We start from the raw sequence: 22650 nt of genomic DNA on the forward strand, positions 1-22650 counted from the left end.
TGGATACGCTCCTGTGTTATCTCCTATAAGGTGTGTTGTTCTATCCTTCATATTTAGGAATATAGTACACCTGGAGTTTTTGTATTATCTTTTCATTTTTAGCACTTGGATATCTAATAACCCAGCATCATTTATTGAAAAACTTTTTCCTACTGTTCTGAAGTGTCATTTTTGTCATAAATTAGATGTCCTTATGGAAGTTCATTTCTGGGCTTAGTATTTTCTATCCTTGCAACATTACCATACTGACTTAATTGCTATAGCTTTATAAGTCTTGATATTCAATGGGACAATTACTCCTACCTTGCTCCTTTTCAAAAGTTTATTTTCCATTCTGGGTCCTTTCCATGTTTCTATAAATTTGAGAATCACCTTATGGAGTCTTATAAACCAAGTCCTCTTGGAATTTGGATTGGAATTGCATTGAATCTGTAGATAATCTGAGATGAAGCAGTATCTTTAGTGTAACTGGGTCTTCCAATCCATGAATATGGTACAGCCTCTCCTTAATTTAGTTGTTCTTCTTTTTTTTCAGGTGGGTTGGGGGAGAAGGAGCCAATTCAATGTCTAGTCTTTACTGGAAAGAAGAAACTTTACAGCGCATTTTGAGCAATTTAGTGCAGAGTCTCAGTGGGTCAACTGGCGGGGCACCAGATAGTAATGGATTTCACAGTTAGGGCATTGCTGGGTCTCACCTTTGTGCAGCCAAAAACTAGAGGACAGCACTGTTGTACTCTTCACAGATGCAGCCCACTATTCACTTGTTGGTGATGGAGGAGACTAAATTAGGGTCTTCTTTGGTGCCAGAAGCTTCCTTTTGGAGTAGTGTATTCTATGGGTCCAGTCCCTTTCATGCAGCCATTATGACCTACATCTCCAGTCCAGACACATCACCATCAGTAGGAACACCACCTTCAGATGCCATGGAGCACATCAAGGCCACCCACTGGAACCATGGGCCCTCAGAGTCTGCAAGGGCAGCACTCCAACTCTGTGGCATAACCTCAAAGCCATATGCTCACGACAAGCAGCAGCACTTCTGGGAACAGGCTTCAGAGACAACTTGAGTTCTTCCTTAATTTCTCTCAGTAAGATTTATAGTTTTCTATGTACAGGTTGTGTACTTTTTCTTTGTGTGAACTTATTCCTATTTGAAACTTCAGATGCTGTGGAAATTGTATGTTTTTAAAAAAGTTTTCTAACTGTTTATTGTTGGTATGTAGAAATATATCTGATTTGCATACTGGTCCTTTATCCAGCAACCTTCTTAAATTCACTTTTTAATTCTAATAATTTATCTGTAGATTCTTTTGGATTTTCTATGTATGTAACTATATCATTTGTAAATAATGCCAGCTTATTTCTTCCTCTTCCTCACTCTGACATTCTAAAATGTCTCCTCTTTTCTATAAGTACTTTAAAAATAATGATTAAATAATTTATTTATCTGGAGTTTATTTTGAGCATTGAGTATGCAGTGTGGCTCTAAGCTAATTTTTTTCCCAGATGGATATCCTGATTTTTATGTAACAGTTATTAAATAAACCATCTTTCCTCAATAATTTGAAATGAGACCTTTATAATAGATTAAATTCCTATGTGTATTTGATTTCACTTTTGTGGGTTTTTTTTTGGATCACTGAACTCTTTTAGTTATTGTAACTTTAAAATGTTTTAATATTTGGTAGATCTTCTTATTTATTTTTGGAATATATATTTCTATTCTTATTTAATTTTTCATATAAATTTGGGAATCAGCTTATCTAATTCCAAGACAAAATTCTATTTAGATTTTTATTAGGAGAGCTTAAGTTATAGATTCTATTTATAAAGTTGAGCTTTCCGGATAGGTGCAGTGACTCACACCTGTAATCCTAGCACTTTGGGAGGCTGAGGCAGGAGGTCAAGGCTGCAGTGAACTGAGATTGTGCCACTGCACTCCAGCCTGGGTGACAAAGTGAGACCCTGCCTCAGAAAAAAAAAAGTTGAGCCTTCCTATCTTTTTCTCTGTTTCTTTTCTTTTCTTTTCTTTTTTGGCAGAGTCTCACTCTGTTACCCAGGCCGGAGTGCAGTGTTACAATCTCAGCTCACTGCAACCTCTGCCTCCCAGGTTCAAGTGATTCTCCTGCCTCAGCCTCCTGAGTAGCTGGGACTATAGGCATGCACTACCACGTCCGGCTAATTTTTGCATTTTTAGTAGAGACAGTTTTGCTATGTTGGGCAAGCTGGTCTCGAACTCTGGACCTCAGGTGATCTGCCCGTCTCGGCCTCCCAAAGTGAGCCACTGCACCTGTCCAAGGGCTACCTTTCTAGTGGTTCAAATTGTTTGTGTCACTTAATACTTTAATATAGATCTTGTGCATATATCAATTTATTTCTAGACATTTATCTTTTTTGTTGGTACTGTTAATAAAGCTATTTTCTTCATTATGTTTCCAAACTGGTCATCGTTTGCTTGAATGTTGCTTATTAACCTTTCTGTGAGTTAATTTTGGGTTTTTTGTTTGTTTTGGTTTATTTTGTTTTTGCTTTTTCTTTTTTTTTTTTTTTTTTGAGACAGGATCTCACTCTATTGCCCAGACTGAAGTATAGTGGTACAAACATGGCTGAATGTAGCCTTAACCTCCTGAGCTTAAGAGATCCTCACACTTCAGCCTCCCAAGTAGATGGGACCACAGGCGTGCACCACCATGCCTAGCAAATTTTTTTGTTTTAATTTTTATAAAGATGAGGTCTCTCTATATTGCCCAGGCTAGTCTCAAATTCCTGGGCTTAAGCAATCCTCCTGCCTTGGCCTCCCAAAGTGCTGGGATTACAGGCATGAGCCACTGAGACCAGTCATTCTGTGAGTTAATTCTGTAATCCAACCACTGAACTAAATTCTCTTCTTGTTTGTAATAGTTTTTCAGTTGATTCTCTTGTTTTTCTCAGGTAAGCAATTTATATAATTTTTAAACAACATGTAATTTACTTCTTCCTGCCTGTTTTTTATTTCACTGATTTCTATTAAGAGATTTTAAGCAGGAGAGCCCTCCTGCTTAAATCTAATCTGATTACAACATCAAAAGATTACACTGGCTGCAAAGGTGGAATCAAGAAAATCATTTAGGTGTCCAGTAACAAAAGATGGTATCTTGAGCTAAGAGAGTGGCAGTAGAGGTAGAGAGAAGTAGGGAGATGGGAGATATATTTTGGAGGTCAAATATGTGGCAGAGAAAGGTTAATCATATTATTCTAAAGATTTGGAAAATTCTTGGAAATCTTAGAATATAAGAATCATAGTTTATTAGAAGAGACCGTAAATATAATCAAGAGTCTCTAACCCGATGCATTCTCAGTTTCACTACAATTTCCTGGCTACTTCCAGTGGTAGAGAACTCACTACCTCCCATGTCAGCCATTCAATTTATTCAATTCACTCCACAAACCCTGCTCTTTGTCAGGTACTGTGAGGGACCCTAGAAAACATGGATAATGAAGATCCACTCCCTTCTCTGGGGAAGTAATGAAGATTCACTCCCTTCTCTGGAGAAGCTCATAGAAATGGACAACTCTTTTGGAAAGTCTCTTTCCTGGCTGGGCAATGTGGCTCAGGCTTAGCAACCTTTCTAATGGTTTAAATTGTTTGTGTCACTTAATACTTTAATATAGATCTTGTGCACTTCTTATCAATTTATTTCCAGACATTTATCTTTTTTGTTGGTATTGTTGATAAAGTTATTTTCTTCATTATGTTTCCAAACTGGTCATTGTTGGCTTGAATGTTGCTTATTAACATTTCTGTGAGTTAATTTTGGGTTTTTTGTTTGTTTGTTTTGGTTTGTTTTTGTTTTTGCTTTTGTTTTGTTTTTTCTTTTTTGAGACAGAATCTGACTCTGTTGCCCAGACTGAAGTGCAGTGGCACAAACATGGCTGAATGCAGCCTTAAACCTCCTGGGGTCAAGAGATCCTTCCACTTCAGCCTCTCAAGTAACTGGGACCAGTGGCTCATGCCTGTAATCCTAGCACTTTGGGAGGGCAACGCAGGCGGATCGCTTGAGCCCAGGAGTTGGAGATCAGCCTGGGCAATATATGGTGAAACCCGCATCTCTACAAAAAAATTAAATACATAAATACAAAAATTAGCTGGGCATGGTGGCATGTGCCTTTAGCCCAAGCTATCTGGGAGGCTGAGATAGGAGGATTAATTAAACCAAGGAGGTCGAGGTTGCAGTGAGCCATGCTCATGCCACTGCACTCCAGTCTGGGTGACAGAGCAAGACCCTGTCTCAAAAACAAACAAACAAAAATTTAAATGGCAAATCTACATATGAATTCAATACAGTAGACATTTAAACCTTGCACTGCCACATAATTATTTATTTTGTGAAAAAATGACATACTTTTTGAATATGTATACATCAAAACCAAAAACTAAATGTTTACTTTTTTGTTTATTGACAGCTTTTTGTTTGTTTCTTGTTTTTTGTTTTGTCTTTTGAGACAGGGTCTCACTCTGTTTCCCAGGCTGGAGTGCAATGGCACCATCAAAGCTCACTGCAGCCTTGATTTCCAAGGCTCAACTGATCCTCCTGCCTCAGCCTCTCCAGCAGCTGGGACTACAGGCACGTGCCATCATGTCTGGCTAATTTTCTCCATTTTTTGTAGAGACAGGGTCTCCTTATGTTGTCCAGGCCAGTCTTGAACTCCTGGGTTCAAGTGATTCTCCTGCCTCAGCCTCCCAAAGGCTGGGATTACACGCATGAGGCACTGTGCTAGGCCTCTACTGACAACTTTTTTTTTGTTTTTTGAGACAGGGTCTCACCCTGTTACCCAGGCTAGAGTGTAGTGGCACAGTCTCCACTCACTGCAACCTCCAGGTTCAAGCAACTGTTGTGCCTCAGCCTCCCAAATAGCTGGAATTACAGGCGTGCACCACCACGCCCAGCTAATTTTTGTAGAGACAGAGTCTCATCATGTTAACCAGGATGGTCTCAAACTCCTAGGCTCAAGCAATCCCAAAGTGCTGGGATCACAGCCTCCCAAAATGCTAGGATTACAGGTATGATCCACTTTACCCAGCTTTTACTAGCTTATTAAGTAACCGGAGAGTTTAGTCCCTACAGTTTTATGATGCATTTTTAGGTTTCAGTTCCCAGAGGTCATTTTTTACAAATGTTGAAGATGTACCTCTGTCCAGCTTGCCAGCCTTTTTCTGTTATTTCCTTGACTGTGTTCATATATATTCTGATTCTTTCCAATTCCTTCCTGCTTTACTAGCTGTTTCTTAGTATTAACTCCTTGAGTTGCCAAATAAACTCAAAACTTTAAATTTAATGTGTACATAGAAACTAAATCCACTTTCACTTGTTTAAGTGGGTCCAACTTCTGCAACAACTCATTTCAAGAAACAGACATCATGGTCTTTAGCATATTATCCACAGCACCAGTGTAATTCTCAAGCATTGACAAATATTCATGAATTTCCACTGGATGGTCTTCATTAATTTCTTCATGTGCCTTAATGACTGACTCACAGCCTTCAAATCCAGTCTGCCAGAAAGTGGCCAAGCAATGATGGTATCAATTCATACTTTCATTTTGGTTTAATGTGTACTTTTTTTTTTTATTATTAGAGACAAGTTCTCGCTCTGTTCCTACTGAAGTGCAGTGGTGGGATCATGGCCTTCTGCAGCACAGAACTCCTGGGCTCAAGCAGTCTTCCCATCTCAGCTTCCCAAAGTGCTAGGATTACAGGCATTAGCCACCAGGCTCAACCTAAAAAAAAAAAAAAAAAACCCTGTCTTTTTAGGAATTTATTATATCAAGTGTATGACTAGCTTTGGAAACAATATACTAAACAACTATGTAATCAATTACCTTGCTAGGCTCAGCAAATACTAGCTGATTACCATTACAAAAGTATTTGTCGACTGAAAAGCCTGGGAATAAAACTAATAACACATATGGAAGGAAGTTGATAAATGTTGATAAATGTTACAAGTGAAATAGAAATATTTGATTTATCCAAGATAAGCGATGATACAAAGTCTGCTTTTACAGACAACAGACACGATTATAATATCCATTTCCAAATAATCAACCTTTTTTTAAAATGGGCAACAGTCCACTACTCTTCCAAAGTATTAATAGTTATGTTAATCATGTGTTCAAAATCCTCATCCTAGTTAACCATCAATATATTTAATGAAGATATTATCTTCTTGATAAGGCATTTTAATGCAGCATTTGAATAGGACTAAATTTACAGTATCAAAAGTCTTAATACAATTTGATGTGTTTTCCCAAATGAGTTGCAGAAAAATGACAAGGGGAGAAGAGTGATTTTTCTATAAAGGGGGTAACCCTGGTCAATTCAGAATTAGAGACAGCTGTGAGTTATAATGGGTTCCTCTGAGAATTGCCATGTTTAAATTAAACTGATGATCTGATAGCTCGGGGAATAATTCCTGGTGCAAGTGTTGTGGGCATTTTGCATCCTGCATGATGTAAGATAATTTTTCTCCCTGAATGTTTTCTTTAAATCTAGGTAATTTGAACTAGTATAAACAGCATTGGTGGCCAGGTGTGGTGGCTCATACCTATTATCTCAGCACTTTAGGAGGCTGAGGTGAGAGGATCACTTGAGCCCAGGAATTCAAGACCAGCCTGGGCAACATAGTGAGACCCTGCCTCTAAAATAAAATAAAATAAAATAAAATAAAAATCATTGGTTATCCTATCAGAGATGTCTGACTTTGCATTCTGATATGAATGTTTTGGAGAAATCTAATAGTTTTTTTTATCTTGCACATGTTACTTTTCTAATTTTTTCATACTTAAATAGATTATAATATTTCCCTAATAAAGATGCTGTGAAATTGGATAAATGCAATGTGTTTATTTTCACTCATTTGATTTCCATATACATAAATGTATATATAACTAACATAAACCCTTACTTAGTAGGTGTTTAGTAATGTCAGAGAGCAAATTCCCTACCATGTATTCCCTTTCTTTTTAAGCCATTCATTTGCCTAAGTAATTTCTCTCTCTCCTTACCCGACATTTATTGTGTCATCAAGTTCTTTTGATTTGGCTTCTGCAATGCTTTTCCAATTGGTTTCATAATTTTCATTCTTTCCTGAATTCTCAGTTCAGGATTGCAACGACCTTTTAACTAATTTTTTTCACTCCCTCTAGTCTTGCCACTTCCATTCCATCTTCCACACTGTCCAGAGCTTCTCAAAACACAGTTCTGATTATGAGTCAACATTTCTTGCCTAAATAATTTTAATGACCAATCTTTATATTGCAGGGATCTTGTCTCCTTCATCTTGCATCTCCATAGTCAAACAGCATGTTCCATGTTTACCACCCCATTCTATCAGCTTCTGACGTTTTCTGTGATTGGATTAGGTTATAGCAAACTTTCTGAACAAAAGATCTATAACTAACTTTTTATTTTATTTGAGACGAAGTCTTGCACTGTCACCCAGGCTGGAGTGCAGTGGCACAATATTGGCTCGCTGCAGCCTCCACCTCCTGGGTTTAAGAGATTCTCGTGCCTCAGCTTCCCAAGCAGCTGGGATTACAGGTGTGTGCCACCACGCCTGGCTAATTTTTATATTTTTTAGTAGAGACGGGGTTTCACCATGTTGGCCAGGCTGGTTTTGAACTCCTGACCTTAGGTGATCCACCCACCTTGCTTTCCCAAAGTGCTGGGATTACAGGCGTGTGCCACCGTGCCCAGTCTATAACTGACTTTAAAACACATGAAAAAGATGTTCACTTAAAATAAGGGATGTGCAAATTAAAACTAAGATATTAGCTTTCATCAGTTTGGCAAACATCAACAAGTTTGACCATAAATTATTTTGGCCAGGATGTGGGGAAACATTCTCAAAGTTTATAGGAGGACAAATTGGAACCATCATTTTAGATAACAGATTTTTTTTTTTTTTTTTTTGAGACAGGGTCTCACTCTGTCACCCAGGCTATAGTGCAATGGCCTGATCTCACCTCACGGCAACCTCTGCCTCCCAGTTTCAAGCAATTCTTGTGCTTCAGCCTCCCGAATAGCTGGAATCACATGTGTATACCACCACGCCTGGCTAATTTTTGTATTTTTAGTAGAGACAAGGTTTTGCCATGTTGGCCAGACTGGTCTCAAACCCCTGGCCTCAAGCCATCTGCCCTCGCTTCAGCCTCCCAAAGTGCTGGGATTATAGGCATGAGCCACCACGTTTGGCCTAGAGAATAATTTCTTAATATTTATCAAGAATGACCAAAAGTTTGACCCAACATTTTTAATTTATCCTACAGAAATACACATGCAAAGATATATACAAAGAATATTCATTGCAGTATCATAACATAAGCATCCCAAAAGATGGGAAATAGCCAAAATGTCTATCAACAGGGTAATGGTTATGTAAACTGCAGTGTATCCATAAAATGTAATCCTACGGAGCCATTAAAAAGAATAATGCAGGCTGGGTGCACTGGTTCACATCTGTAATCCCAGCACTTTGGGAGGCCGAGGCAGGCAGATCACTTGAAGCCAGGAGTTCCAAGAACAGCCTGGGCAATATGGTGAAACCCTGTCTCTACTAAAAATACAAAAATTAGCTGGATGTGGTGATGCACACCTGTGATCCCAGCTACTCAGGAGTCTGAGGCACAAGACTCACTTGAGTCCAAATGACGGAGATTGCAGTGAGCCGAGATCACGCCACTGCACTCCAGCCTGGGCATCAGACGGAAACTGTCTCAAAAAAAAAAAAAAGTGATGTGCGTGTACTGATACGGAAAGATCTCTGAAATAAAGTTTAAAAGTGAAGTGCAGAGCAGTGTATGTAGTATAATTTTTATAAAATTTTAAAAAATATATACATATATATTAAATATTAAAATATCTCTGGAGTGATATACAGGGGTTAAGGGGAGTGGTTGCCATTGAGGAGGTGAGCAAGGGACAAGGGATTCAGAGTGGTAGAGAGACTACTCTGGCAAAGTTTTTTCATCAGGCACAGAGCAATGGTTAAGCAAGTTATGGCAGATCACCTTGATGATATGAGTCTGGTAAATCTCATATATCAATTCTGATGTCTATTGCATCTCAAAACAGTCCTATGAGGTGGCATTGTTTATCTCTAACAGAGAGGCAAATTGATGATGGATGAGATTGAGTATCTGGTTGAGATCCTTTTATTGTTAGAAGCAATAGGGATTATGAATCCAGGACTATCTGGCACCAACTCCCTGCAGCCTGCCTGGAAAGTATCTCAGCTGTAAAAGAGATCCCATTGTATTCCAAGTATCATTCATGTCTGTGCTCTTTCACCACTAGACTGAAAGCTTCTTGAAAAGAAGAACCATACATCACTTCATCATCGCCACTATCACAATGACTAGCGCACGACAAGTGTTCAGTAAAAGTTTATTGACTTGAACAGTTAGATGATTTTCTTTAAGCAATCAGATACTTATGAGATGTAAATGCCACGATCTGCCATCTTTTCTAAAAGGTAGACTATTTTGATTTGTGTCCTCATCACACGAAGCAATTTAAGAAAGAAAAAACAGGATGGTGAGTGTAAAAACTACAGCCGCAGAATTCAGGAGCAGGCTGTTTTCTTTGATGGTGTTTGGTTTTCCAGGGCATGAGAGAAGAATTCAAAACTTTCTACAAACACTTGCCTCTCCACAGAACTGACAGGGCTAAGTGTGAAACAGACTCTGCACTTTATCCTGTGAAATGTTTTACTAGATGGCTCTTGTTTCTAGCTCCATTTAGACTGCTCAGAGCAGAAGCTGGCCCCCGCCTGTTTGCCCCCTGGAGGATTCCCATCACATGTCAGTGATGTATGTGTTCCCACTAGCTCTAGTGACCTGCCTCTGCGATGTGCTGCAAACACTACACTCAACGGCAAAGCGTCCAGCCTCTGGAAAACCGGTATTGAGAGACTTTCCAGAGCATTAAGAGCTCTTAAAGGACACTCTAAAGTTACTGGGAATTTTCTAGAACAGTGCTTAAAGCAACATTTAGTTTCCTGAATCTGCAAGAAAGGCACTCTTTTATTGGTCTCCCCTAATTTCCCAGCTTCTCTGAAAGCATGAGTCAGCCAATGGAAGAACAGTGGGGAGGTGAGTATATCAATTTAGACTCAATCTTTGGGCTTAGCAACTTAGAATCTGGCGAATTCCTTTCCTAGGATCACTTGGACAAAGCAGAAAGGTGTAATGGAAATAGCACAGATAGAAAGCAGATTAACCTGAGTTTAAAACTAGCTTCTGTCAACAACCAGTCACATGACCTTAGGCAAATTACTTAATTTCTTAAAGGCTTTGTGTCCTCATTTTGCAATATTCTTGTGAAAATTTGGTAGGCCATCATCAGCACAGTTCCAGGGACAATAAACTTTTTTTTTTTTTTTTTTTTTTGAGAGATAGGGTCTTGCTCTGTTGCCCAGGCTGGGATATAGTAGCACAATCATGGCTTACTGTAGCCTCAAACTCCTGGGTTCAAGCCATCCCCCCACCTCAGCCTCCCAAGTAGCTGTAACTACAGGCATGTGTCACCATGCTCGATTACTTTTTAAAAAATTTCTTGGCTGGGCATGGTGGCTCATGTCTATAATCCCGGCACTTTGGGAGGCCAAGGTGGGTGGATCACCTGAGGTCAGGGGTTTGGGACCAGTCTGGCCAACATAGTGAAATCCCACTACTAAAAGTACAAAAAAATAGCCAGGTGTGGTGGCACGCCCCTGTAGTCCCAGCCACTTGGGAGGCTGAGGCAGGAGAATCGCTTGAACCGGGGGCGGAGGTTGCAGTGAGTAGAGATCATGCCACTGCACTTCCAGCCTGGGCAACAGAGCGAGACTCTGTCTCAAAAAAAATTTTTTTTTGGTACAGATAGGGTCTCACTCTTTTGCCCTGGCTGGTCTCAAGTCCTGGTCTCAAATGATCCTCCCACCTTGGTCTCCCAAAGTGCTGGATTTACAGACATCAGCCACCACATCCAGCCTCCAGCAACAATAAATCTTGTTGAACAAAATGAGTGAATAACATACTTAAGATGACAAGCATGTAGAGGAGCTTAATAAATATTAATTCTTCATCTGGATAAAGGCCAGAATTTTAAAATAAATACATAAATAAATAAATATTCATTATCTTCCCACTCTCTGCCCTACTCACCTTCAGTTCAGGCTATACGTAGCCCTTCAGCGAATTTTTCCCCTTCAAGGTCACTTCCAAAGGTCACCAAGACCTATTTTTAACCAGAAAAAAAAAATAATAAAAAATAAACAAGAATTAATGAAAGCACCAGCCTGGCCAACATGGCAAAACCCCGTCTCTACTAAAAATACAAAAACTAGCTGGGCGTGGTGGCACACGACTGTAATCCCAGCTACTCAGAAGGCTGAGGCAGGAGAATCACTTGAACCCGGGAGTCGGAGGTTGCAGTGAGCCGAGATCACGCCACTGCACTCCAGCCTGGGTGACAGCGAGATTCTGTCTCAAAAAAAAAAAAAAAAAAAGAATTATTGAAAGCAAAGAGGAAACATGAAGTGGAAATGTATTCACTTTCGGTTTCTAAGCCCCTAAAGATGGCCTTGTTTTTCTGTTTGTTTGGTCAAGAATGGACCTATCCATGTTGTTTAACAGAGAAAAAGTTTAATTTTTATTTTAAAGCCCATTTATCTATAGTGTTGCAAAATGGGTTTCAGATAAACAACAGACAGCAGCCATTGCCAAACAGTGCATTCGAAACTTTTATACTTTTCTTATGAAGTCACCATGGCTCAGTAGTTCAGTACATGACTTCAACCTCTGACCAACCTAGATTAGAGTCCAAACTTGTCACTTACTTTCCTTATGGGCTTGGGCAATTTTCTTAATCTGTCTGACCCTCAGTGTGCTCGTCTGCAAAATGTGGCTAACAAGGGTGCTCACCTCATGATTTTCATAAGGATTAAATGAAGTAATTGGCATGCCTACTGCGATGCCTGACACAAGGTTCCTGTCAACTAATTGTAGCTATTATTATCATCATCTCATTAATATAAACCCATGAGGTAGCTACTTCTATTTTACAGGGAAAGAAACAGAATCTTGGATGATGAATATAAAAATATTCAGTACAGCAGGGTGCGGTGGCTCATGCCTATAATCCCAGCACTTTGGGAGGCCAAGACGAGTGGATCGCTTGAGGTCAGGGGATTGAGACCAGCCTGGCCAACATAGCGAAACCTGGTCTCTACTAAAGATACAAAAATTAGCTGGGCATGGTGGCACGCACCTGTAGTCCCAGCTACTTGGGAGGCTGAGGCAGGAGAATCACTTGAACATGGGAGGCGGAGATTGCAGTGAGCCAAGATTGTGCCACTGCACTCCAGTCTGGGTGACAGAGCAAGACTCCATCTCAAAAACAAAAAGAAAAACAAAACAAACAAACAAATGAACAAACAAAAAATATAAAAATATTTAGTACATCACCAAGCAAATAGTAAAAACCCATAGGTGAGCTTAAAAAGAAATTCAACAGTCTCCAACCTGCAGATCAGGAGTACTGACCCTCTATTCTTTGTAAGCATTTTGTGTAGGAAGAAGAAACTGAAAACAGCCTGTTAACTTGTCTGTCTGTCCTTATCTGTTAGGAGGAAATGGTCAGAGTTCCTGTACAGCTAGTATGTAGGCACTGCAGTTGTTCAGTAAGTACTTGTTAATCAAATAAATGGAGGGGTGAGCACCCAGGAGCTCTGGTCTGGATGTTCCCAGTCAGGAGCTGCACCCACACTCATTTCTGCTCCCATCGCCCTATCTTCATTGCTACTTCATTCCTCACCTTAAAGCTTCAGGAAAATCCACAGAAGGTCTTCATTGGAAGATGAGAGGATGTAAACAAAAACCTGAGCCTTCCTTGAGATGTCAACCCTGAAAATTATATCCAAAGTTCAAAAAAATTGAGAAACTGTGGTAGACTATTAAAGTTGGGCACTAGAAAGACTGTAACATTCCTGTGGATGAGCAGGTCTCATGTTGCTTTAGAAAGAAACATGTTTAAAGTCTGAATAAATCAATGGTTAAGCTTTGGAGACCTTAGTTTAAACAAACATATCTTGACCTACAACAGGAATATAAACATGACCCTAAAAACACATTTGCAAATGATTTTCTTGGCCACAGACATAGAAGAGTACAAAACTATGATCCCCAAAAGAATCCTTAAGTTTGGATTTTATTTTGTAAAATAAATTTGAGAGTCCTCTTAGGGATCATAGTTTTGAACTGTTTTATGTCTGCAACAGAAGAAAACATATAGGAAAGAAATGTAAAAATTTAAACATGAAAGCATGTTTGTGTATTTCAAAGAGAGAAACATTAGTCTAGAAGGGAGAAAATGAAAGTCTGTAATAGTGGCTTTAGGGTCAGACAATCCTAGGCTAGAATGCTAGAATTCTGGCCCAGTCAATTACTCGTAGGTGAGGCTGAGCAAGTCATACACATATACAACTACACACACACACACATACACACTCACACACACGATTGTAAGATTAGATGGTTACTGTTAAGTACTTATCACAATGATGCATAGTACACAGAATGTCCTCAGTAAATAATCTTTTTTTCCGCTTTTTTATTTTTATTTTTAAAGAAACAAGGTCTCAGGCTGGTCTGAAACTCCTAGCCTCAAGCAATCCTCCTGTCTTGGCCTCCCAAAGTGGTGGGATTATGGCATGAGCTACCACACTCAGCCAATGATAGTTTCTATTATCAGAGAAAGAACAGAAAGAGAGGCCAAATCCCTTGACAATAATTTCTCTTATCCACCAGAGTTCCCAGACAGTCGCCAGAAGCAGTGTTTTATTGCTATGTTTACAAGGAATTGCCTAGAAGACAAGCACCTGTGATGTGGGGACAGCATGAGATTTAGGATTAGAAGAATCTAGGCCCCCAGTTCTGACCCTGACACTTTCAGGCAATGTGTACTTGAACCAATCACATATCATCTCTGAGATTTGGATTCCCCATCTGAAAATGAGTCCCAGGATTTTTCTGAGTACTAAGAGAAATAACGTGGGTTATAGCCCTTTATAAATTGTGACACTTTTAACCGTAGTGAGTCCTTTAGTCTCTGGCCCTGTAACAGTCTTGCCCTAAGAAAGTATATATAGTCCTGTAAGGTAAGGTGCCAGGTTTCCCATCAGATGGGCTGCAAAGGTCTCATGACCTAACAGCCACACTTATGTCAGATGCCAGGCCACTGACATTTCAGGGTAGAAGGGGACATAAAGGAGAACTCTGACACAAAAAAAGTTCAAAGTCAGCTGTCCCAGGCCCGTCCAGCAAGGAAACTTTCACCATCTCTCACCCTGATCAGAAAAGCTCACCTGTACCCTCAACATTTTCACATAAGAAATCTTTTCTAAGGGATTCAAGAACTTGAAGGAAAAAGAGGGTCTAGAGGAAGAATGCTTTTGCTCAGTAGTGAGAGCAGACTTTTCATCCTCATACCATTGCAAATAATTAGCATGTTTCATGAGCTAGTTCTTACAGCAGCAGTGTGCTGTCATGCAAAAAAGCTTCAGAGTGACTCAAGGCTTGGCTAAAACCCTCCATTCTTTAATTAATGTGTGACCCTCAGTTGATTGCCAGTTCCTTTGAATTATGGCTGCTTTTTGAAGCTAAGCAAAGCCACAGATTTAGAGGAGACACATCTTGCAAGTTCACCCAGTTGCTCTTAAAAGGCACACATTTTTTTTTTTTTTTTTTGAGACAAGGTCCCACTTCATCACCCAGGCTGAAATACAGTATTGCAATCATAACTCACTATATCCTCAAATTCCTGGCCTCAAGTGAACATCCTGCTTCAGCCTCCCAAGCTGTTGGGATTACAGGGGTGAAACAGCATGCTCTTCAGAAGGCACATTTTTAGTTTCCAAATAGGTTTCACCTCAAATTGTTCTTTGAATGTTTTACTTGAGTTAGTCTAGTGTCCCCTTTTTTTTTTGTAAGCTCCAGCACTATCTTCTTTATTTGACAATTTAGTACCAAAGCCTGAACCTAGCACATAGTATGTTCACATAGTGTGTTCACAATACATATTTGTACAATGACTGCCTATAGGAATTAATTTACAACTCACTGTAATCTCCTTGAGTCAAGCCCCCAAAGTACCTAGCAGAATGCATAGCAGATGCTGAAGAAACACAAATTGGTTAATTTATCTGTGTCGTATTTATCATCCCTTCCTCCTGCTTCACTGGCATCTTCTCTTCTCTGGAAAGTTGAAATTTCCTGCTGTGTTTTCCACTTCTCAACTTCCACCAAGCACTGGTACTAACTGCCATACTCTTGGAGGCTTTTGGAATCTCCCTTTATAGGAATGGTTGCCCGATTTAGCAAATAAAAATATAGGACACCAAGGTTAAAATGAATTTTAGATAAACAATGAATAAAAATTGTAAAGGTATAAATATGTCCCATTCAACATTTGAGTTATATTTACACCAAAAAAATTTTCATTGCTTATCTGAAATTCAAATGTTACAGTGCATTTTATGTGGCAACCTTATTTACAGGATCTCACCACAAGTATTGACACTAACATAGAAGTTGTCATTTCTCATAACTACACCTTTTAGGCTCTGTGATATTTATTTATTTATTTATTTATAGAGATGGGGTCTCACTTTGTTGCCCAGGCTGGTCTTGAACTCCTGGGCTCACATGATCCACCCACTTTGGCCTCCCAAAGTGCTGGGATTGCAGGTGTAAGCCACCACACCCAGCCTAGGCCCTGTGCTCATTAATTAGTCAGTTCCAAACACCCTAAGGAGACAGAAAGCTGCTTTATCTTCTTCAAGTACAGGCCTTGCTCAGAGTAATGTGCTGGGGAAGGGAGAATCAAGTACCTCAGTTTTTCTCCTGGATTTGAAGTTTCATTCATTCAACTAGTGAGCTGCTCTCTCTCCTCTCAGCTGAGGGATAGATATTTGTGTATATTCCACCGAGCCCAAATTAAGAGCATCCAAACACTAAGCATAGATTTCCTCCTTTGCATTGCTCCTGACACAGTTTATCCTTCCAGATCACCCAGCTGCTTCCATTGAAACATAGAAATCTTACCTACTTCTCCAAACATCAGACACCTTTAAAACTCTCTCCTTTGTATGCTTCTTAGTGTACTCAGTTACAAAGTTCTGGGTTTGTTTTTATTGCAGTTATTTATTTTCTGTTGTCTTCCCTACAGAAATACTTCTCATATCTGCCTCTTCCTCTTTCATTCCATTTCTCCAGTCTGTCCTGCCCATTTAATATGTCATCACCTGAGGCCTAGATTGCAGCAACAGTGTCTTAGCTCTTCTGGCTTCCTGCATCTGTACACCTCCTAGCAAATGTATCCTAATATAGTCTCCTTTTCCCATCTGGGATTCCCCTTTGGGGAAAGCTGGCATAAATCTTGATTTTCTATTTAACAAATCAATACCAGGCTCCATAGCTGAGGCTTCAAGATACCCCAGCCCTTCTATTTTCTTTGCCTTATCTGTCTTCCATAGACTGATACAGTCCAATTTCTATTTGCTCAGATCTGGGCCTCATCCCTACATCTGGCTGCATGAGCCCCATCATTGCTCCTGCCTTGAATACTCAAATCCCTTCCCTCCTCCTCTGGGCCAATCCATGTCCCTTACCTCCTTCAAAACCCAGCTTTTTAGAAGATAATACAGCCAATCTTGGGGTGGAGAAAGCCTTTTCAAAGAGAAGAAAACAAAAGAGGAAAATGCAAAGGGAAAAGTTTAGTAGATTTGATGACACAAGAATGAAAAGATTCCTTATGTCAAAAAGTACTGTAAACAGAACAAAAACAACTAGAAAAAAATCGCTACCTATAATAGACAATGTTAATATTCTTAACGTAATTTGCAAATTAGTAAGAAACAGACATTCCAAAAGAAAATGAAGAGCAGGTATATTTGTGTGACACACACATGAAGCAGAAGAGGCCAAAAACATGAGAAACCACAAAACCTCAGTAGTACTAGAGAAACACAAATTAAAAGAATGAGTTTCCTTTTTCTTTCATCAGACATTTTTTAAAGATTGATACTCCATGTTGATGAGAGTGAAAGAACAGGATTTTTCTTACATGCTTTAGCAGTGCTCTTTCTTACACTTCTTTTCTTTTCTTTCTTTTTTTTTTTGACACAGACTCTGACTCTGTTGCCCAGACCGGAGTGCAGTGGTGGGATCTCGGCTTACTGCAACATCCGCCTCCCAGGTTCAAGCGATTCTTCTGTCTCAGTCTCCCAAGTAGCTGGGATTACAGGTGTACGCCACTATGCCCAGCTAATTTTTGTATTTTTATTAGAGACGGGGTTTCACCATGTTGTACAGGCTGGTCTCGAACTCCTGACTTCAGGTCATCTGCCCACCTTGGCCTCCCAAAGTGCTGGCATTATAGGCATGAGCCACCATGCCTGGCCTCTTATACTTCTTTAAAATAGCATAGATTAGGAAAACCTTACTACTTGTTTACTTTGTTAACAGTGTTTTCCAATTTTCCTATAATAAATATGTATCCTTTTTAATAATTAACACAATATGTATATGCACTTTTCAAAATCTTATGAAAATTGAAGGGAGGATAAGGCAGGAGGAGAAGGAAAGTGCATTTTTCTTAACCAGATAGGCCTGGTTTAGAAATCCCTCATTGCCTCTAACTAGCTGCAATTGACTTCTCAAGTCTGGGATCCTCACCTCAGTGAGCTGTTAAAATAGAAAAAAGTATGTAACCTGTTATTACAATACCTGGCACTTTGTAAACATTCAAAAAGTGGTGTTATTTGTTATTATTTTGTTGTATCCTCAGAGAGCATATAGTTTCAGTCTTTTGCATGTAGTAGATACAACATTAAAATATCTGCTAGATGGTCTGATTATCATTATTATTATTGTTATTATTATTATTATTTGAGCTGGAGTCTCGCTCTGTCGCCCAGGCTGGAGGACATTGGCCTAATCTTGGCTCACTGCCACCTTCACCTCCTGGGTTCAAGCAATTCTTGTGCTTCAGCCTCCCAAGTAGCTGGGATTACAGGCACCCGCCACCATGCCCAGCTAATTTTATTGTATTTTTAGTAGAGACTCACCATGTTGGCCAGGCTCATCTCGAACTCCAGACCTCAGGTGAACTTCAGATAAGTCTGACAAACCAGCAGCTTTTGGAACTGAGTTTTATTTTTATTTATTTATTTTTAAGACGGTCTTGCTCTGTCACTCCAGCTGGAGTGCAATCACAGCTCACTGTAGCCTCAAATTCCTGGGTTCAAGCAATCCTCCTGCCTCAGTTTCCCAAGTTGCTGGAAACTACAGGTACATGCGGCACTGATTTTTTCTTTACCTTTGATATTCTTCTTCACTAACCCCATTTTCTCCTCCCCCTTTTCCTTTCCTCCTGTCTGTTCCACAACTGTCCTATTCATTCCCTTTCTTCTTATCACACTCTGTTTCTTATGGACCAATCTTTCACAAGTTCTTTGAATAGCATTTTTCAGGCATGGCCGCATGTACCTGTAGTTTCCAGCAACTTGGGAAACTGAGGCAGGAGGATTGCTTGAACCCAGGAATTTGAGGCTACAGTGAGCTGTGATTGCACTCCAGCTGGAGTGACAGAGCAAGACCGTCTTAAAAATAAATAAATAAAAATAAAACTCAGTTCCAAAAGCTGCTGGTTTGTCAGACTTATCTGAAGTTCACCAGCAATGACAATGGGCTCCCTTTTCTCCTTACTGTTACTCTTTATTTTATTAATATTTTGATTGAAACTCATCTGTCTTTGGAATGCTTCCTATGCTTGACGGCACCTGAGTCTATTAACGTCAGTGTTTCCTGGTAATCTGTGACCTATTTGTCTGCTGACCTTCTCTTTCCTCCAGGCAGAAGCTAATTCTGTGTTTCTTATGAGGCTTCTTGCATGTTCATGTTCATCAGTGTTGTAAATTAAATTAATAGTATTTCAGGTCAGCAAAATAGCTTCCCTTCCCTTCCTCTTCTTTTCCCCTTTTGTCCCTTCTACTCCTTTGCCCTCCTCCCTGAAAATATAATTATTAATTATTCCTTTTCTCTGACATAAATCTATATTTGCTTTTGGAAAGTAGAATGAATACTTTTTTACTTATAACCCATATTGAATATATGTCTTTTTAATATTTGGGAAACACGCACTAAACACTTTAGGACAGTTGCTAAGAGATTATAACAACAGCGGAAGGTGATTATGCAACAAGCACTGGATTCTCCCCTCCATATCTTTATAACTATTAAGGTCTATAATTATGGGGCTTGGCATTAGAACAGATGTGAATTCTGTCTCCAATGCTATACAACCTTAGGCAATTCAACTATCCTCTCTGGGATTTAGCTTCTTTGTCTATAAAAAGTTGATAACATCTATAACAAAAGATGGGAGTTAAATGTGTATAAAGTATATAAGAAACAATCTAACACAGAGTAGATGTAGGGATACTATCTAACATAAAGAGAAATGTGAATTTCCCCTTCCCTTTAGGAGGTTCATTCATTTCTTAGGGGATTTATAATCCAGTGGGAAAAATCAAGATCTACATAAACACTAAACATAATCAAAACTAATTTATTAAGCATGTAGGACATAAAATGTGTCATATACTCCACTAAAGGAATTTTGCAAAGACGGTCTTATTTAATCTTTATAACTGGTACTGTTATAACTTTATTTATATCTTTTTTTTTTTTTTTTTGAGGCAGGATTTTGCTCTGTCACCCAGGCTAGAGTACAATGGAATGATCGTGGCTAATTTTAGCTTCTACCTCCCAGGCTCAAGCAACCCTCCCACCTCAGCCTCCTGAGTATTGGGACCACAGGCCTGCACCATCACGCCTGGCTAATTTTTTGATTTTTTGTAGAGATGGAGTCTCGCTATGTTACCCAGGCTGATCTCAAACTCCTGGGCTGAAGCGATCCTCCCACCTTGGCCTCCCAAAGTGCTGGGATTATAGGCATGAACCACCATGCCCGGCCATAACCCCAGTTTTAGGATGAGGAAACTGACATCCCTATAGGTCCTGTAGTTAGTAAGAGGTACAGCCCATACAATTAGGTACCAGTGTCCATGCTCATAACCAACCACATCATATTGTTCTCACTCATGTCTTACACAGAGTAGGAACTCAATAAATATTTTCTAATATCTCCTCTAATTTCTTTTTCCAAAGCAAAGAATAACCGCCACACATCCCAGAAAAGCACATCTTACCTAGTCTTTGATAAAAACAGTTGGCTGCTTTGCACAGTCTAAAACTCAGATACAGTTTGGTGCAAAGAAAACAGGGAAAAAGACCGGGTGCGGTGGCTCACGCCTGTAATCTCAGCACTTTGAGAGGTGGAGGCGGGCAGATCACAAGGTCAGGAGATCGAGAGCATCCTGGCTAACACAGTGAAACCCTGTCTCTACTAAAAATACAAAAAATTAGCCGGGTGTGGTGGCAGATGCTTGTAGACCCAGCTACTTGGGAGGCTGAGGGAGGAGAATGGCGTGAACCCGGGAGGCAGAGCTTGCAGTGAGCCGAGATTTTGCCACTGCACTCCAGCCTGGGCAACATAGCAAGACTCTGACTCAAAAACAAAGAAATTTGGAAGGGCCAGGAGCGGTGGCTCATGCCTGTAATTCCAGCACTTTGGGAGAGCGAGGCAGGTGGATGATTTGAGGTCAGGAGTTCAAGACCAGCCTGAGGAACATGGTGAAACCCCGTCTCTACTAAAAATACGAAAATTAGCTGGGCAAGGTGGCACATTCCTGTAATCCCTGCTACTTGGGAGGCTGAAGCAGGAGAATCGCTTGAACCCGGGAGGCGGAGGTTGCGGTGAGCTGAGATTGCGCCATTGCAGTCCAGCCTGGGCAACAAGAGTGAAACTACGTCTCAAAAAAAAAAAAAAAAAAATTTGGAAGCACTCTGCGTTCTCAACCAACAATCAGGGGTGTAACTCTGGCAATAACAGTTTCTCTTAGAACATTTAGACTAAGTCTTCAGGACAACAAGTTAGTAGCTCCGATTTGAGGATATGATAATGGGCAGAAAACATTTTGTTCCAGCCAGTCTGTGGCTCTATCCATCAAAATTAATGATACCAAAATACTTTGAAGGTTCAGACTGCTATAAAAAGATGAATTGTAAAAGCCCTGGACCTCAACTGTATTTAACCCTGTTTCAGTATGACTAACATTTCACCCTGCTGGTTAGGTTTTACTGTGAGTGTCCCATTAGCACATTCGAGAATGTGGCTAGGAATAAATTGTTGACACCACTGATGTTGGCGCTCCTTATTCAAACCATTGTGGACACTAACTTTTCTTAAAGTAAAGACAAGGTTTCACCATGTTACTCAGGCTGATCTCAAACTCAGGGCCTCAAGCGATTCTCCTGTCTTGACCTCCCAAAATGCTGAGATCATAGGTGTGACTACCATACCCGGCCATGAATTTATTTATTTATTTATTGAGACAGAGTCTCACTCTGTCACCCAGGCTGGAATGCAGTGGCCCAATCTCAGTTCACTACAAGCTCCGCCTTCCTGGTTCAAGTGATTCTAGTGCCTCAGACACCCAAGTAGCTGGGATTCCAGGGATGCGCCACCCAATCCGGCTAATTTTTGTATTTTCAGTAGAGACAGGGTTTCACCATGTTGGTCAGGCTAGTCTTGAACTCCTGGCCTCAAGTGATCTGCTCGCCTCAGCCTCCCAAAATGCTGGGATTACAGGGGTGAGCCACCATGCCCAGCTGAATTTATATTTTTAAAGAGAACCTATGTGCTATCCAAAAATAAACCTGGAATGATTCCATCTTAAGACATATTTTAAATGAGTAAATTATCCAGTTATAAGATGAAGATCAAGTTTATAGCAAGATAACAAATGGATTCTGAATGCTTATTAATGTAGATATCATCTATTTAGACTTAGAGATAATTTTGACAGGGTTCTGGGTAAGTATACTTTGGCTTAGCAAACCCTTTCTTCTAAACATTAAGTCATAACATGGGGTTCCTGGATATTTAAGGGATCTGTAGAAGTGGTAAAGGAGGTTTCAGAACAAACTTCAACCTCAAATGGGGCTGTCCAGGCTAAGTCATGTGTTAACTTAGGGGCTGTGGTGATCAACTCAGAGTGACAGATTAGCTCTGATGGGCACTCACAAATGTTCTTGACTATTTAAAAAATAATGAAACAATTATGAATTAATATAGCTTTGCTGACAATACTTTTCAAAATTTGGGATCCATGATGGGAAGGATAGGGTCTATGTGTACCAAAAAATGTACTTGATGGTGAAATATTTGTAAATCGCTTTCCCAGAGTATAAATTAATAAAATTTTAAGACCATAGAGGAACATTTAAAATACAGTATGGTTTTGGGAGTGATGTCAGCTAGCTGGCAGAATAGGAGTTTTTAGTGCCTGTCTCCTTGCAGAAACACTAATTTAAACAGCTATCTACATGCAAAAATACTTTCATAAGAGCTAAGGAATTCAGGTAAGAGATGAGAGTATGTAGGTGGAACACAGAAATAAGAAAAGATGCATTAAAGAGGGTAGGAAGGACAGTTTTACATTACCCACA

General features: G+C 39.8%; 1 long non-coding RNA gene and 2 pseudogenes across 1 annotated transcript; all 3 read right to left on the reverse strand.

Moving 5' to 3' along the window:
* On the reverse strand, positions 545 to 1038 carry COX5BP4 (cytochrome c oxidase subunit 5B pseudogene 4; annotated as a pseudogene).
* C1DP5 (C1D nuclear receptor corepressor pseudogene 5) lies at positions 5092 to 5558 on the reverse strand (annotated as a pseudogene).
* LOC124902725 (uncharacterized) lies at positions 5579 to 11321 on the reverse strand. The gene is made up of 2 exons (XR_007062802.1): positions 11182 to 11321; positions 5579 to 5757 (listed from the first exon to the last, which is right to left on the reverse strand). It is a non-coding gene; the product is annotated as an uncharacterized LOC124902725 (long non-coding RNA).
* Between the last annotated feature and the right edge of the window lie 11329 nt (positions 11322 to 22650).

The sequence above is a fragment of the Homo sapiens genome, chromosome 11, assembly GCF_000001405.40.
Source record: "Homo sapiens chromosome 11, GRCh38.p14 Primary Assembly".
NCBI lineage: Eukaryota > Metazoa > Chordata > Mammalia > Primates > Hominidae > Homo > Homo sapiens.